At 44.7% G+C, this 14486-nt stretch overlaps 2 long non-coding RNA genes across 11 annotated transcripts in view; one reads left to right on the forward strand and one right to left on the reverse strand.

Moving 5' to 3' along the window:
* Positions 1 to 14468, reverse strand: part of LOC107984447 (uncharacterized) — a 55612-nt gene extending 41144 nt beyond the window's left edge. For 5 of the 7 annotated variants that reach the window (XR_001749374.2, XR_001749373.2, XR_001749377.2 and 2 more), the window contains exons 1-2: positions 14319 to 14468; positions 1354 to 1693 (exon numbers count right to left, since the gene is read on the reverse strand). This is a non-coding gene — a long non-coding RNA (uncharacterized LOC107984447). Of the gene's footprint in view, positions 1 to 561; positions 772 to 1353; positions 1694 to 14318 lie in introns of those variants that run through there. The other 2 variants (XR_001749378.2, XR_001749372.2) reach the window with 2 other exon arrangements.
* LINC02359 (long intergenic non-protein coding RNA 2359) overlaps positions 1 to 14486 on the forward strand; it is an 82665-nt gene that overhangs the window by 57618 nt on the left and 10561 nt on the right. For 3 of the 4 annotated variants that reach the window (NR_186741.1, NR_186738.1, NR_186739.1), the window contains one exon: positions 3436 to 3530. This is a non-coding gene — a long non-coding RNA (long intergenic non-protein coding RNA 2359). Of the gene's footprint in view, positions 1 to 3435; positions 3531 to 4824; positions 5030 to 7989; positions 8096 to 8360; positions 8439 to 10738; positions 11261 to 13237; positions 13292 to 14486 lie in introns of all 4 variants that reach the window. The other variant, NR_186740.1, reaches the window with a different exon arrangement.

The raw sequence follows: 14486 nt of genomic DNA on the forward strand, positions 1-14486 counted from the left end.
GAACCAACCCAAATGTCCAACAATGATAGACTGGATTAAGAAAATGTGGCACATATACACCATGGAATACTATGCAGCCATAAAAAATGATGAGTTCATGTCCTTTGTAGGGACATGGATGAAATTGGAAACCATCATTCTCAGTAAACTATCGCAAGAACAAAAAACCAAACACCGCATATTCTCACTCATAGGTGGGAATTGAACAATGAGATCACATGGACACAGGAAGGGGAATATCACACTCTGGGGACTGTTGTGGGGTGGGGGGAGGGGGGAGGGATAGCATTGGGAGATATACCTAATGCTAGATGACGAGTTAGTGGGTGCAGCGCACCAGCATGGCACATGTATACATATGTAACTAACCTGCACAATGTGCACATGTACCCTAAAACTTAAAGTATAATAAAAAAAAAAAATTCAAAAAATTAGGCGGGCGTGGTGGCGGGTGCCTGTAGTCCCAGCTACTTGGGAGACTGAGGCAGGAGAATGACGTGAACCCGGGAGGCGGAGCTTGCAGTGAGCCGAGATCGCGCCACTGCACTCCAGCCTGGGCGACAGAGCGAGACTCCGTCTCAAAAAAAAAAAAAGGTCCTTAGCCGACAGCCAGCGGGGAAAAGAGGACCTCAGTTTTACAATGAAAGAAGCTGAATTCTCCCAGCAACCCAAATAAGCAAGGAAGCATCTTCTCCTGGAGCCTCCGGAGAGAAGCACCACCATTCAGATGCCTTGATTTTAGCCCAGTGAGGCCTATGCTGGAATTCCGACCTATGAAAGTGCGAGAGAATAAATCAGCGCTGTTTTAAGTCGCTGGTGGTGGCAATTCGTTACAGCATCTCGTCCATCCTTACAATGTGCTTGGGGGTGGGATGGAATCTGTTACTGCTGGTCTTTCCCCCATATCATAGATAAGGAGATTAAGGACCCCAGGGGTTAGAAACTTCCACGAGACACCCCCATGAGACATCCAGGTCTGGTGGGCTCCAGCCTTTGGGAGTCCGTCACCAAACCCAGAAACACACGAAATGACCCACCTGCTCAGGCAAGTGGCGTGAGAATTACATGGGCTTATGTGAAAGCTCCTTATAAATGACAAAACATGACACAAATGGGAGTTTGAGATTAATTTAAAAAAAAAACACCTGTGGGTTTAATCAACCCATTGTCACCATCTAACAGAAACAAAAAGTACATTTTAGTTTATTTTTCACATTTGACTAATTTTTTTCTGATCAAATTACCATTTTGACATTCTCCATTTACTTAGCCAGCAGGTGTTCAGTAATCACAACTACCATGCTTTCTGCTTGACACAGTTTGTACCAAATTGAATCAGAAAAGACTTCTTACCTTAAGGAGTTCCTAACTTCTGGGTGAGAGTCAGAGAAGTGGGATCATCACCCCCATCCTGTACATGGGAGGTAAGAAAGGGGACAGGAAGGTCTTCAGCCAAGTTTGCAATTCTTGAAAGAATCCTGTCTGAGACTGTGAGGCTGCAGGAGAGAGAGAAGCGGCGAGGAGAAACCAAGAAAGAGCCGGGGTCACATCCCAGCCCTGGCCCAATCTCTCTCTGACATACGGTTTCAGGAGCCCATAAATTTCTCTTTGGTCTGAGCCTTTTCTGTGTGGGCTTCTGTCACTTGCAACCAGAAGAGACATCTGTTGAACTCAAAGGATGAGAAAAGGGTATCTGGGAAGAGAAGGAAAATGGAAAATGTTATTCCAAACAGGAGGAAGGATATACACAAAGAGACCTGTGATCCTGCAAGAACCCAGCATTGATGGGAAGAACAACAGTGTGGTCCTTGTAGGAAGCTCACTCTTCCTCCACAAGCCCAACCCAGACAGGGAGAGAGGGAGGGAGGGGCTGAGAGTCTGTGAACAGAGACTCCAAGTCCAGTTTGGTGCTAGATACAGAACTCTGTGTCTCCTTAGCTGCAGTCTGCCTCAGGGACACATTGGATAACGTTGTGTCCTCTAGAAAGAGACACCTTGGGCTCAGGCTCACAGGCTGTCCCTCCAGGTGAGAAGGGGAACAGCAGTAGGCCAACCTGTCCTGGAGAAAGATGCTCTGCTCTGGGCCAGAGGCTGAATATAAACTAATATTTGAGTCCTAAACACAGCCTGCCAAGTGGATAGATTTTGAGAAACTTAAATATACAAGAGAGAAAATGTTTATTTTCTTGACTGGGCTAAGGGATGCCCAGATTGTGGGTGGAACATTAGTTCTGGGGGTGTTTTTGGAAGAGATTGACATTGGAATCAGTAGACTGAGTAAAGATCCCTTGAGGGCTTGAATAGAGCAAAATGATGGCGGGCGAATTCTCCCTCTCTCTCTTCTTGAGCTGAAACATCCATCTTCTCCTGCCTTTGGACATTGGAGCTCCTAGTTCTTGGCTCTTTAGACTCTGGGACTTACACAAGCCACCACCCTCAGCTCCCTTCCCCACTCTATAATAAACAATTCAAACATTACCTTCCACCTTTTTAGCTATTTCATATGAAGGAATCTTAGATGTGGTCAGAGAGAACAAAGTCATAAAGAAAATGAAGTTACAAAGAAAAAGAAGTACACACACACACACACACACACACACACACACACACAGGCATGGGAATTGCACTGGCTCTGGAAGCCTTAGGAATCATGCTGACTGCCCATGGACAACCCAAATGGTGTAATGACATGAGGACATCTCTGCTACAAATGCTGACCATTCCATGAGATTAATCTCCTTAGGCACCACAGGCTTGATTTGGGAATGCCTCCTGCCTTCCTTCTTTCCTGGCAAAGAAAATTACCAGGGACTGAGCCGGGGAAGAATATTAGTGTTAATAAGAACAGTTTATTCCATTGCCATCTGCTGATTTTTAATAAGGGAGCTGCCTAATGACAATGATTTTCTTCAGCCAGGTGGAGAAATGTCCCCAAAGAAGGAGCACAGTTGTCACAGAGAGGACTTGAGACTCAGGCCAGGGGTGCATATTTGCTGGCCTTTCTGATACAATTTTTTAGCCCCAGGGGAATATATTTCCAGCAGAAGTTATGGTGGGGTGGCTGATATCTGCTCTCTTTGCCCACCCAGTATCATTCCCTCTGTCTCTGCAGTTGATAACCCCCAGGTTCCTCAAGAGGAAGACTGCAGTCAGGCAGAGAAGGGCGTCTCATCTAAAGGGGATGGGACTGAAGCTACTCAGGGGATGGGGTCCCAATAGCAACTCAGCCTTGATTTTCCAAAATAGAGGTTTTGAAATTGAAGCCAGAACATAGGAACACAGAGCCAAGATTTCATGAGAAGGAGGAAAAGAGGGAGAAAGGGAGATTTCAATATTTATTTGAATCTCTTGATCAAGCGGCACTTAAAACCAATACACAAAACTTTTCAGTCAGTGAGCCAATTAACATTCACATTTATTTTCTTTTTGTTTTAGCTGGTTTGGGTTGAGTTCTCTCAGTACCAATACAAGGCGGATCGAAATCAGCAAAATCAACACCAAAGTCACTACTACAAGAGGCAAAGCATTAGGTAAGTTGATGATGGAGAATTCACCGGACCTGGGCTAAGCAGGGATAGGAAGTCTCCATGGAGGAGGTGGCATTTGACCAGGATGGGGCATGAGAGTAAAGAGAGGAGAGGCATCCATGGAGAGTGGATGGTAGGAACTGGAACAGGATGGTGAGGAAGTGCTGCTTTGTCGGGTGTCTATACCTCTTATTCTGCCTAGGACAGTGGGATATATGCCAGTTGTCCTAAGACTATATCAATGGGCCCTGTTTACTCTGCATGGTGTCCTGGTTTGGTTGGTAGATTACATGATCACTCTGCTTACGGAACTTGAAAGAACCCAAGTTCTTTCTTGATAGCCTAACCATGTAGTCACAAGCGCTCGGGTCCTCAGCCCTATCCAGGTATCCAGGAAAGGATAGACAGACACACACACACACACACACACACACACACACACACACACACACACACAGAGAGATTGATTCTTAACTTGGGCCAGGAGTGAGCTCATTTTGGAAATGTTGAGGGAAATCTGCCTTCCAGAGCAGAGTGGGACATGAGGGACATGTTTTCCGTAGAAAGGATGATTCAGTTGTGAGTTGTGTGCTTGCCAGAGTGTGCCTTTTTGAGCTAATTACTGTCTGCCGATAAATTACTGGGATTAAAAACAAGAACAAAATGAACTTAGTTCAAGGACACATGTCAGAAACAGAACAATTATCATTTGGAAAGGTCCATTAGTGCGAGCGACTTAGAAAAATCTTTTCTTATAAACTTCTAGTCATATTAGATATTTCAAAAACAGGATTAGAAGAATTTGCATGTTGGCTGGTAGTGAAATTGCACTTCCTGAATGAAGTGTGTCCTGAGAGACCAGGGTCAGAGCTTGGGAGAGTGTCTGGTTTTACAAAATGTAAGCTTTGCTCAGGCTGCTGGTGTGCGTGTGTGTGTGTGAGAGAGAGTGTCACTATTTTTGTGTGCGTGAAACTATGTCATTCTGTGCATATGCCGCTTCCTTACTAGAAGAATGTTGCACTGTGCTGTATAAATGTGTAAAAATAGCTTTGCCCCAATGATGAATATTATATTGTAATGTGCATGTAGTCCTCTCTTATCCTCCATTTCAGTTACTCATGGTCAGTCGCGGTCTAAAAATATTACTGACAATAAGATATTTTGAGAGAGAAATAGAGATAAACCACATTCAAATATCGTTTATTACAGTATGTTGTTTACATTGTCCTAGTTTATTGTGAGTCCTTATTTGTTAATCTGTTCCTGTGCCTAATTTATAAATTAAACTTTATCATAGGTATGTATGTATAAGAAACATTCATGGCATATATAGAGCTTGGTACTATCCTGTTGTCAAGCACCCACTGTGAGTCTCGGAGCGTACCCCTGTGGTTAAGTGCGGACCACTGTAGTGTGCACTAACAGCGTCCAGAAACTATGTTTCAAGGATTGAGAAATGCTCCTGAGAATTCAGAAACGTTTGCAAATCCTCCACACTCTAGGTAATTGAAATGATTTATTTTTCTTCTTTGAAATCCTGCCCCCTTGGTATTGAAACAGCTCCCTGCTTTCCCATAGCCAGACCACATCCCTCATACACAGACTTCAAACACCTGCAGGGTGGGAGCGCTGCCCAGGGCTGGCCAATCAGTGTGTGCCATCCCAGTGCAACAGTGATTGGCTCACAAGTGGTCATGTGACCTACTGAGCTCTCGCTTTCTCAGCCCTGCCAAGGGGCTAAGGCATTCGGAAATAAGCACAACCATAGGTCTGCAGGAGCCCAGGGTTTCCACACAGTGACTTCGACCTGCCTTTTGCAGCTCGATGCTGTAAAGCCAAGCTTGTCTCAGGCTCATCAGACTTGGGTCACAGAAGCCAGTTCCTTATGAAACAGGCCGGGAAGGCTCAACTACTGATAACGTACAGCCCTGTTTTCTCGTGAAGGCTTAATTAATTGCAGCAACATTTTGGGCATTGATTTTTTTCCATGTAGCTTCAGCACATGAGTTAGCAGCTCCTTTGCAGGCAATGTGTTGCCAAGTGTCTGGGGGCAGTCACGTAATAGAATCAGTAAATTCGCCGCAGTCTCTTCTGGTCTGAAGGTGGCAGCCCAGGTGCTCCTGTTGGATGCACATTCATTGAATCTGGAAGAGAGAGGGAGTGCAGTCTCTTGTGTGAAAGAAGTCTCAGCTTGGGACATCAGCTTGGTTCTCTCAAAAACTGGTGACTGCTTACTGGCCTGAGGGAGCTGATGTCCCTGCCACTGACCCTGAACGTGACCTTGTCAAACCAGGGTAGTCTGAGGCTGTTTCTCCCCTTGGGCAATGCAGAGGACCTTGCTTTAGTCCGACTAGAGCCAGCTAGTGTTCCTTTTCTCAAATCCTTTTAACAAATTTTAAGTGTACAATGTGGCGCTATGTCGTACAGAAGATCTCTAGAACCTATTTTTATTGCGTAACTGAAACTTGATACCTGTTTCCCCTCCCCCATCTCCGCAGCCCCTGGAAACCACTGCTCTGCTCACTGCTTCTGTGAGTTTATTTTAGATACCTCATGTAAGCAGCAGTTATTTCACTTAGCATATTGTCCTCCAGATTCATTTCTGTTATTGCACACTGCAGAATTTCCTTCTTTTATAAGGCTGAATAATATTCCATTGCATGTATATGCCATATTTTCTTGATCCATTCATCCATTTATGGATATTTAGGGTTTTTTTCCAAATCTTGGATATTGTGAATAATGCTAAAATGAACATGGGTGTGCAGATATCTCTTTGTGATCCTGATTTCAATTCTTTTTTTTTTCCATATACCCAGAAGTAGAGTTGCTAGAATATACAGTAGTTCTATTTTTAATGTTTTTGAGAAACCTCTATACTTTTCTATAGTGGCTGTACCATTTTACATTTCTTCCAACAGTGTACAAGAGTTCCAGTTTCTCCATATCCTTGCCAACACTTACCTTTTATTTTATTTTTATAATAGTCATCCTAGGAAGTGTGAGGTGATATTTCATTGTGGTTTCAATTTGCATTCCCCTGATAATTAGTAATGTTGAACATGTTTTCATATACCTATTGGCCATTTATGTGTCTTCTTTGGAAAAACATATAATCAAATACTTGGCCTATATTTTTTTTCTTTAAAGACGGAGTCTCACTCTGTCACCCAGGCTGGAGTGCAGTGGCACGATCTTGGCTCACCTCAGCCTTTGCCTCCTGGGTTTAGGTGATTCTTGTGTCTTAGCCTACTGAGTAGCTGGGATTTCAGGCACATGCCACCATGCCTGGCTTTTTATTTTTTATTTTTATTTTTTGGATTTTTAGTAGAGACAGAGTTTCACCATGTTGGCCAAGCTGGTCTTGAACTCCTGACCTGAAGTGATCCGCCTGCCTCAGCCTCCCAAAGTGCCAAAATTACAGGCATGAGCCACCGCGCCCAGCCCTTGGCCTATTTTTAAACTGAGTTGTTTGTTTTGCTATTGAGTTGTGGGAGTTTCTTGTATTTTTAGACATTCAATCCCTTTCAGATATATGGTTTGCAAACATTTTCTCCTATTTTGTAGGTCACCTTTTCACTTTGTTGCTTATTTCCTTTGCTATTCAGAAGCCTGTCAATATGATGTAGTCCCAAGTGTCCATTTTTACTGGTGTTGCCTCTCTGCTTTTGGTGCCACATCCATACACATCATCAGCTGATCATCTGCAAGGGTGCCAAGAATACCCAATGATGAGAGGATCTCTTCAACAAATGGTTTTGAGAAACTGGATAGCCACATGCAAAAGAATTAAACAGGGCCCTTATCTTACACCGTACACAAAAATCAAGTCAAAATGAATTCAAAATATAAACATAAGACTTGAAACTGTAAAACGCGTAAAAGCAGACACAGGAGGAAACTTCATGACATTAGTTTTGGCAATGATTTATTGCCTCGAACGTTCCTTGGACACCTTGAGACAGGAAACAACCTCTTATCATGAGAGGTCAGCAGCTTCGAGAGGTCTCTTGCTTACCAGAAAAATCAAAGATTCATCAAATGAGTCACCAGTTAAATGCTTAAAAACCCAGATCTGTGCCATGGTGGGATCCTCCCTGATGGGCAGTCTTACAGAGCCTGAGACAGGGAAAATTCAGAAAAGAGAGGAGAAAAGAGCTAGACCTGAAATATTTCTAGGCTGTAGAATGCTCCAGTTGCAGGTACTGAATTCAGTGGGTATTACTATTTCCTAGGTGTAAACCATGGTTCAACTGTTAGTAATCAATGACATCAATTTACAGGCCACTATCATTTTTAAAATGCATGGAATAGAATAAAATATATCAGGGTATATTCTTGGAACAAAGGTGTATATTCTTAATGAAATTTTGGTTTAAATTGTATAGGTGTTTTTGTGTGCATGTGGGGGTGGATAAATCCTAATGTAAAATGTATTTATTTTTCTTTTTTTATTTTAAAGAGACGGTCTTGCTCTGTTGTCCAAGCTGGAGTGCAGTGGCTCCATCATGGCTTACTGCAGCCTTGAACTCCTGGGCTGATGTGATCCTCCTGCATCAGCCTCCCAGGTAACTGGGACTGCAAGTGTGCACTACCATGCCTAGCTAACTTTTTTATTTCTTATTTTTGTATACATGGGGTTTTGCTGTGTTGCGCAGGGTAGTCTGGAACTCTTGGCCTCAAGGATTCCTCCTGCCTCTGCCTCCCAAAGTACTGGGATTACAGGTGTGAGCCACTATGTCCAGCATTATTTCTTATTATGGATTATGATGAAGAAGCTAAAAAGTACAAGCCTAATCTGCTGTTCCTAACCCAGTCTTTCACGGTTTCCAGGAGGCTTCCCTTTCTCTTCGAGCTCATATTATCTGCTCCGATCTCTGAATATTTTGAACCAGCCAATTGAAAGCCTAGGTTTGTATTTGTATTTCCCTGCACTGATTTTTGTTAGTCTGCATAAAATTTCCATCCATTGTTCAGTCAACAAGTGTTTCCTATGAGTTTTTCCTCTCCTATAGGACTGTTCCTCTTTCCAGTGGCTCTGGTATAATATAGAGTCCCATAACAGGATTCCAAGCAGAAATAACCTCATGCCAACCTGGAAAGTAAACAAGTGGAGCATAATATACCCTTATCACACAGACACAATTACATATGGGGCATGAAGGAATATTTATCATTACCTCAAAGAAATATGCTCCTTCGCACTTTTCTTGAAACACCTGGTCCACGCTACTTTTTATTTTCCCACTTGGACAGGGACTTTGGTAGAAGAAATACTTTGCTCTTCCCTTAGGTCTGCTCATGTGCAATGATAAATAGCATCTAACACTCAGCTTCTGTGATGGGGACAATAGGGATAGGTGGGGTCTGCAGGACACCTGCTACTCAGTAGGCTTGGAGTCCCAGTGGCACCACAGCACTGGCCTTTCCAAGGGAAACCACAATTCCATATTTTAATTAAAAATCTTCCAATTTGCAAATGTTGCCAAACGCTTCATTTTCTAAATACTGTACATGATAAACAAATACATCTGTAGGCCACTAGGGTCTCAGGTGTGCCACATGCAAACCAACCCACTGCTGGGCACATGCATGACGGATGCTCACTGACCAGACTGGAGCATACCAGGGACAACCCTGGGTTGCAGGTGACCTCTAGGTTTTTGTCTGGAATGAGATATCCTACTACAGGAACATGAGTCTGTGGATAACATGCATCACCCACGTTTTGCTCTGATGCTTTGAATCTTAAAGGAAACCACACAAGAAAAACATTCATATTAACAAGGGACTGTATAAACTCTCATCAGCATCTGGCTGTTCATCTGGAACAGATTATTATCCAGATCTTGTTTTCATCAGGGGCACTGCTTTTGTTACACTGTCAGCTAATGGCTTCCCCCTCTCCTTCCTCCCTAGACACATCATCTCTTTTTATGGTTAAGAACAAACATGTATTCCCCACCCTTGTCCAGCCCTATTTTAAACAAGTTCTGAAAATCACATCAGTTTCCTCACCCTCTTGCTTTCAATTGGATTTGGCCAATGAGTGGTGCCTGCAGGTAAAAGAGCAGGAAGAGAGGGAGAGGTCAGGGTGTTTACAACCCTGCTTTCCCACCCCATTGCTGGATGGTTCACTGAGAAAGAAGACTCTGCAATGGAGATTAGTGTGCAGGGTGCTTATTAGGGAGTGACTTTGGGACCCATTCCTTGGAAAGGAAGAAAAGGAAGCAGGAGTGGGCAGAGGGAAATATTGAGCTGTGAAGCAGGCCCAGAAAAAATGGCCAACTCTGGAGTGAGCTTGGGAGCTAGGATGGTCCTAGCGATTTCCCCGAGGTGGGCTGAGATGGTCAGGCCTTTATACTCCCAGGGCAAGTCACTGTTTGTGGGCCCACTGGGAAGGGGCTTGCCCCTGGAGATGATGACTCGCAGCAGCTCAGGCACTCCCTGAAGGGGCTGCAGCTGGAGTCTACCTACCGTGACAGCACTCCCTGAAGCTGCAGCAACACACCTTTCATCAAAAGAGGGTCTGGGCAGCAGCATATCAAGGTGCCTACCACGCTGTCTGCTTGGCCACAGGTGGCTGAGCCTCAGTTGTTTTACCGGAGACCACAGCTCCTGTTGGGTGTCCAGATCCGACAGTCGCAGCTCCCTCTGGGCTCCACTCACATATTCCTTTCCATTCACTTCTGGCCCAGAGCTAGTGGGCTTCCTACTATCACCCTGATGTGCTTCCCTGTTCCTTGTTTTTACCTTCAAGTCTCCTCTCATCTATGAAAATAGTCCCTAGACTCTCATCACTTTCCCCTTTTTAGTGCATGATGTGTTTCCTGCCAATACACGGAAAGATTCACAATTCAAGGATCATTCTATGTACTGTTTTTCTATATCATTGCAATGAGGTGTAAGAAAGGTGTAATTGTGCATATTTGGCTGCATCTACACACAAATTTGTTTGCAGATAAAACTGTTGTATTGAAACTGGTCAGTAACCAGATATTAACTGGATGTTGAGCTTCTTTCCTCTTTAAATTAGTTCATGTCATAGAGACAGGATATGTGTATTAGCCAGATAGGCTAATGTCCTGTAACAACCATCCCCCACCTATCAGTAGCCCAGCAAGAAAGGCATGGGATTTTTTGTTTATTTGTTTGCTTTTTGATATACAGCCCAATGCTCTTGTTTTGTCTCTGGCTGCTTTCATCCTCAGCCCTCTCTCTCACATGGTGACTCAAGGGATCTGATGCGTTCCCTCTTGTAGCTTCATCATAGTCAACACATGGCTTCTAAAGTCATTGCAAAAGAAGAAGAGTGTGAGAAGGAATCTCTCCCTGCTCGTGGATTTCCTCTCTTCCAGATGCCCATCTCTTCAGCATAGAAAGTCCTTATCTCTGAAGTGAAACACACCAGTCTGCTGTCTTTTGGTGGGAACTAACCACATGGCCCTGTCCACATGCACAGGGTCTGCAAATGAAGCCCTTGGACGGTCAGTGACGACCCTGAATTATAGAAGAGACACACAAGTAGCTGCCAATCATCCAGATTTCTCTGCCTTGCTATGTGAGCCTGTATTGTTGACTGGTGATGCTTATGATTTTCAAGGAGAACAAACTGTATACATCTTTCCCTAGGACTTTAATTGCTCAACACCTGGGTTTATATTGAGGCCAGAGTGAATGACAGTAGCTATTAATCAAGTAGCTGGCAAACTGCAGAAGCTGAATTGGTCCAGGTGAGCTTAGGCTCTTAGGCCACCCTAAGAGAACCACCTGTGTTTAGGGAGTAAACCTTCTCTGCTATCCTTGCCCCTGGTCCAACTAGTTTGAAAATCCCTACAATAAACATGTTTTGGCTGCAGGTACTAATGATGATAAAGCCCAGAATAAATCAGAACCTCACATCCCTATGGAAAAAACCCTCGCCGTTCTTCACTTCCTCATTTATAAAGGGGAGTTGTAGCCACACCCACTCCCATCACGCTGTTTTGTGAGGAACGAATTAGATCATTGGTACAGACACTGCACAGTGGGGTGCCATGCAATGCATGGCAGTAGCTCCAATCACACCTTCCCAGAGGGGACCTGTCTCAGGACTCTCAGGGTAAATAAGCCTCCTAGAACTTTGCAATATAGTGACTCTGAAATAGGTATTATGCTTGCTGTTATTTTAATGTTATTATTAATACACAGGCAATAAGCACCTCCAGGGAATACACACAGCTTCATGTCCTGTCCTTTCCTTATAGAATTCAGGGGTCCCAGGGATGGCATTCTGGGTTGGCCACATGGCATCCATCCCAGCCCTCTCTCCCTGCCCATGGATCCCTTCTCTCCCAGATGTCCATCTCTCAGCATCTCTTGGTGCTAGTACATGGGAATGAGGCCTGCAGCTAGAAAGTTTGCTTGAGACTTCTGGGCATTATTAACATTCCTGAAAATAGTGAGGGATGGAGAGATAAAGAGAGAGAGAGAGGAAGAAGAAAAAGGAGGAGGGGGTGAAGAATAAGAAGGAGGAGGAGGAGAGAGGGAGAACACCTGGGGGGCTGCAAGCAGGTAAATATGGTTTATTCAGCAGCTCTCTTGTCAGCAGCTCTCTCATCAGCAACTCTCTCACACTGTCCACCTTTATCTCAGCTGTCTATTCCAGCTCTGTGGCTCCTGCCACCCCCACGCCTGGAGCTGCTCTTCCAGGCCTGCAAGGCCAGCTCTGTCAGGGTTCACAGCTTAACTCTTTCTCTCTCCAGGCACAAGCCAGTTCCTGGCTCCCGACTGCCACCTTCAAGGTGGGTAGCTCTCACTTACAGGCATCAGCAGTTTCATACTATCTCTCTGGGCACCAGCACCGAGCTGTGCCGTGCCATGCCATGCCATACTGAGCTGAGCCAAGACAAACAGCACCTGTACAGCATCAGCAGGTTAGTTATACCTTTTACAGACAAGAGTGGCGTAGAGCCATGTATGAGCTTACACAAACAGGTTATATAACAAGTGGAGGTGTGCGCCTGCTCACCAATCCCACGGAGTCATGCAGGCCTGATGTCTGCCTCGGCCTAATTCTTGACCAAAGCACATCGATGCACCTTATACAAGCCCACCCCAGAACCACTTGCCTCTTGTTAGGTGACAAAAATATTTGCCTGATGAGGTAACCTTTAGTCAGATACAGCATCCAAGCACACACACACACACACACACACACATACACACACACACACAACAAACAAACAAACAAACAAACACGAGTGGAGGAGCAGATGTATACACCAAGGATTACAGCACAGATGGTAAGTGGTCTGGCAGAGATGAACTCAGAGAGTGGGCATCTGATGGAACCTGACAAGTCAAGACAGGCTTCCTGGAGGAAGTGGACCCTAAGCTGAGACTCAAAAGATGAACAGGTGTCATTGCTCTACTGTAGAAGACATGGATGCTGGGAACAACTGCCAGGCAGAGGCCATAGCATCTGTCTAGGCCTAGGGTGGGTGGATGATATAGTTTGGCTGTGTCCCCTCTCAAATCTCATCTTGAATTATAGCTCCCATAATTCCCATTTGTTGTGGGAGGAACCTGGTGGGAGATAATTGAATCATGGGGGAGGTTCCTCCACACTGTTCTCGTGGTAGTGAATACGTCTCATGAGATCTGATGGTTTTATAAGGGGTTTGTCCATTCACTTGGCTCTCATTCTCTCCTGTCTGCCACCATGTAAGATGTGCCTTTCGCCTTCCACCATGATTGTGAGGCCTCCTCAGCCATGTGGAACTGTGAGTTCATTAAACCTCTTTTTCTTTATAAATTACCCAGTCTTGGGTATGTCTTTATCAGCAGTGTGAAAATGGACTAATACCGTGGGGGAGGAAGTGCATCTGTGGCTGCTCTGTGGAGTAAGATGAGGCTGGAGATGTGGCAGGGGTCAGTTCACTAGTGTGTGATGTCTGAGCCAAGGAGCACAAGCTTCAAGGGCACTTTGAGGGGTCACTGAGGGGTGTGGAGCAGAAGCAGGGCCTGGAGAGACCTGTGATTTAGAATGACCAGTCTGGTTGCTGGGGACAACTGGGAGGATAACATAATATGATTATACCCAACCTTTGTACAGCACTCACAGCATGTTTCAGACATTGCTTTAAACATTTTAGATACATTACCTTCTTATTAAAATGTATTTTGTGAGATAGTTACTATTATTTTCATCTCACAAGTGGGGAAATTATAGAACAAAGAAGTTAGGTAACTTGCCCAGGGCCACACAACTAGTAAGTGGTAGAACCAGGATTAACCTCAGACCAGCCCCAGAGTTTTTGCTATTAACTACCACACCATTGCGCCACTCCCAAACCAGAGGGAGCAGTGGGTTGGATGCAGGTGGACCCCATCCTAATTCCAATCCTCCAGTAGGCGTTCAGAAAAATGAAGTACCCAGTATAATCATTCATTGTTATTAAGTGTGCTTTATGTCTCAGGCAATACACACAAATCTCTCACATGAATTTGTTATTTTGGCCCTCAGGGCAACTCTGTGGGATAGGGGGAGGGTTATTGTTGCTGTTTTACAGATGGGGAAGCTGAGGCCCAGAGAAGTTAAGTAAGTTGTCTAAGTTCACAAAGTTACCAGAAGATTGTGGAGTGGTCTTCCAGGGAGAGTTATCTTGTATCAGGAAGGAGAGATGATTACTTAGGAAAGCCCAAGAAACAACAGGTATTTGAAAGCTATAGCAGTTCATCTGGGGTTGATCTGGGAGCATACAGCAAAAAAAGAGCTAAAATGCAAGGCACCAACGTAGAAAAGCCCACCTGGTCTCTCTTCTTAGGGTGGCTCCTCTCTGTCTCTCTGCCTCTGCCTCTTGTCCTAGCCCAGCATGGCCGCAGGTCCCAGGTTCTGTGACATCACAGTGCAGTGCCCACAGCTCACTGTTGGTTCCTGCCATTGAGATTATCTGATTGGCCACTGGCCAGCCAATG

Source organism: Homo sapiens, chromosome 12, assembly GCF_000001405.40.
Source record: "Homo sapiens chromosome 12, GRCh38.p14 Primary Assembly".
NCBI classification, from domain to species: domain Eukaryota; kingdom Metazoa; phylum Chordata; class Mammalia; order Primates; family Hominidae; genus Homo; species Homo sapiens.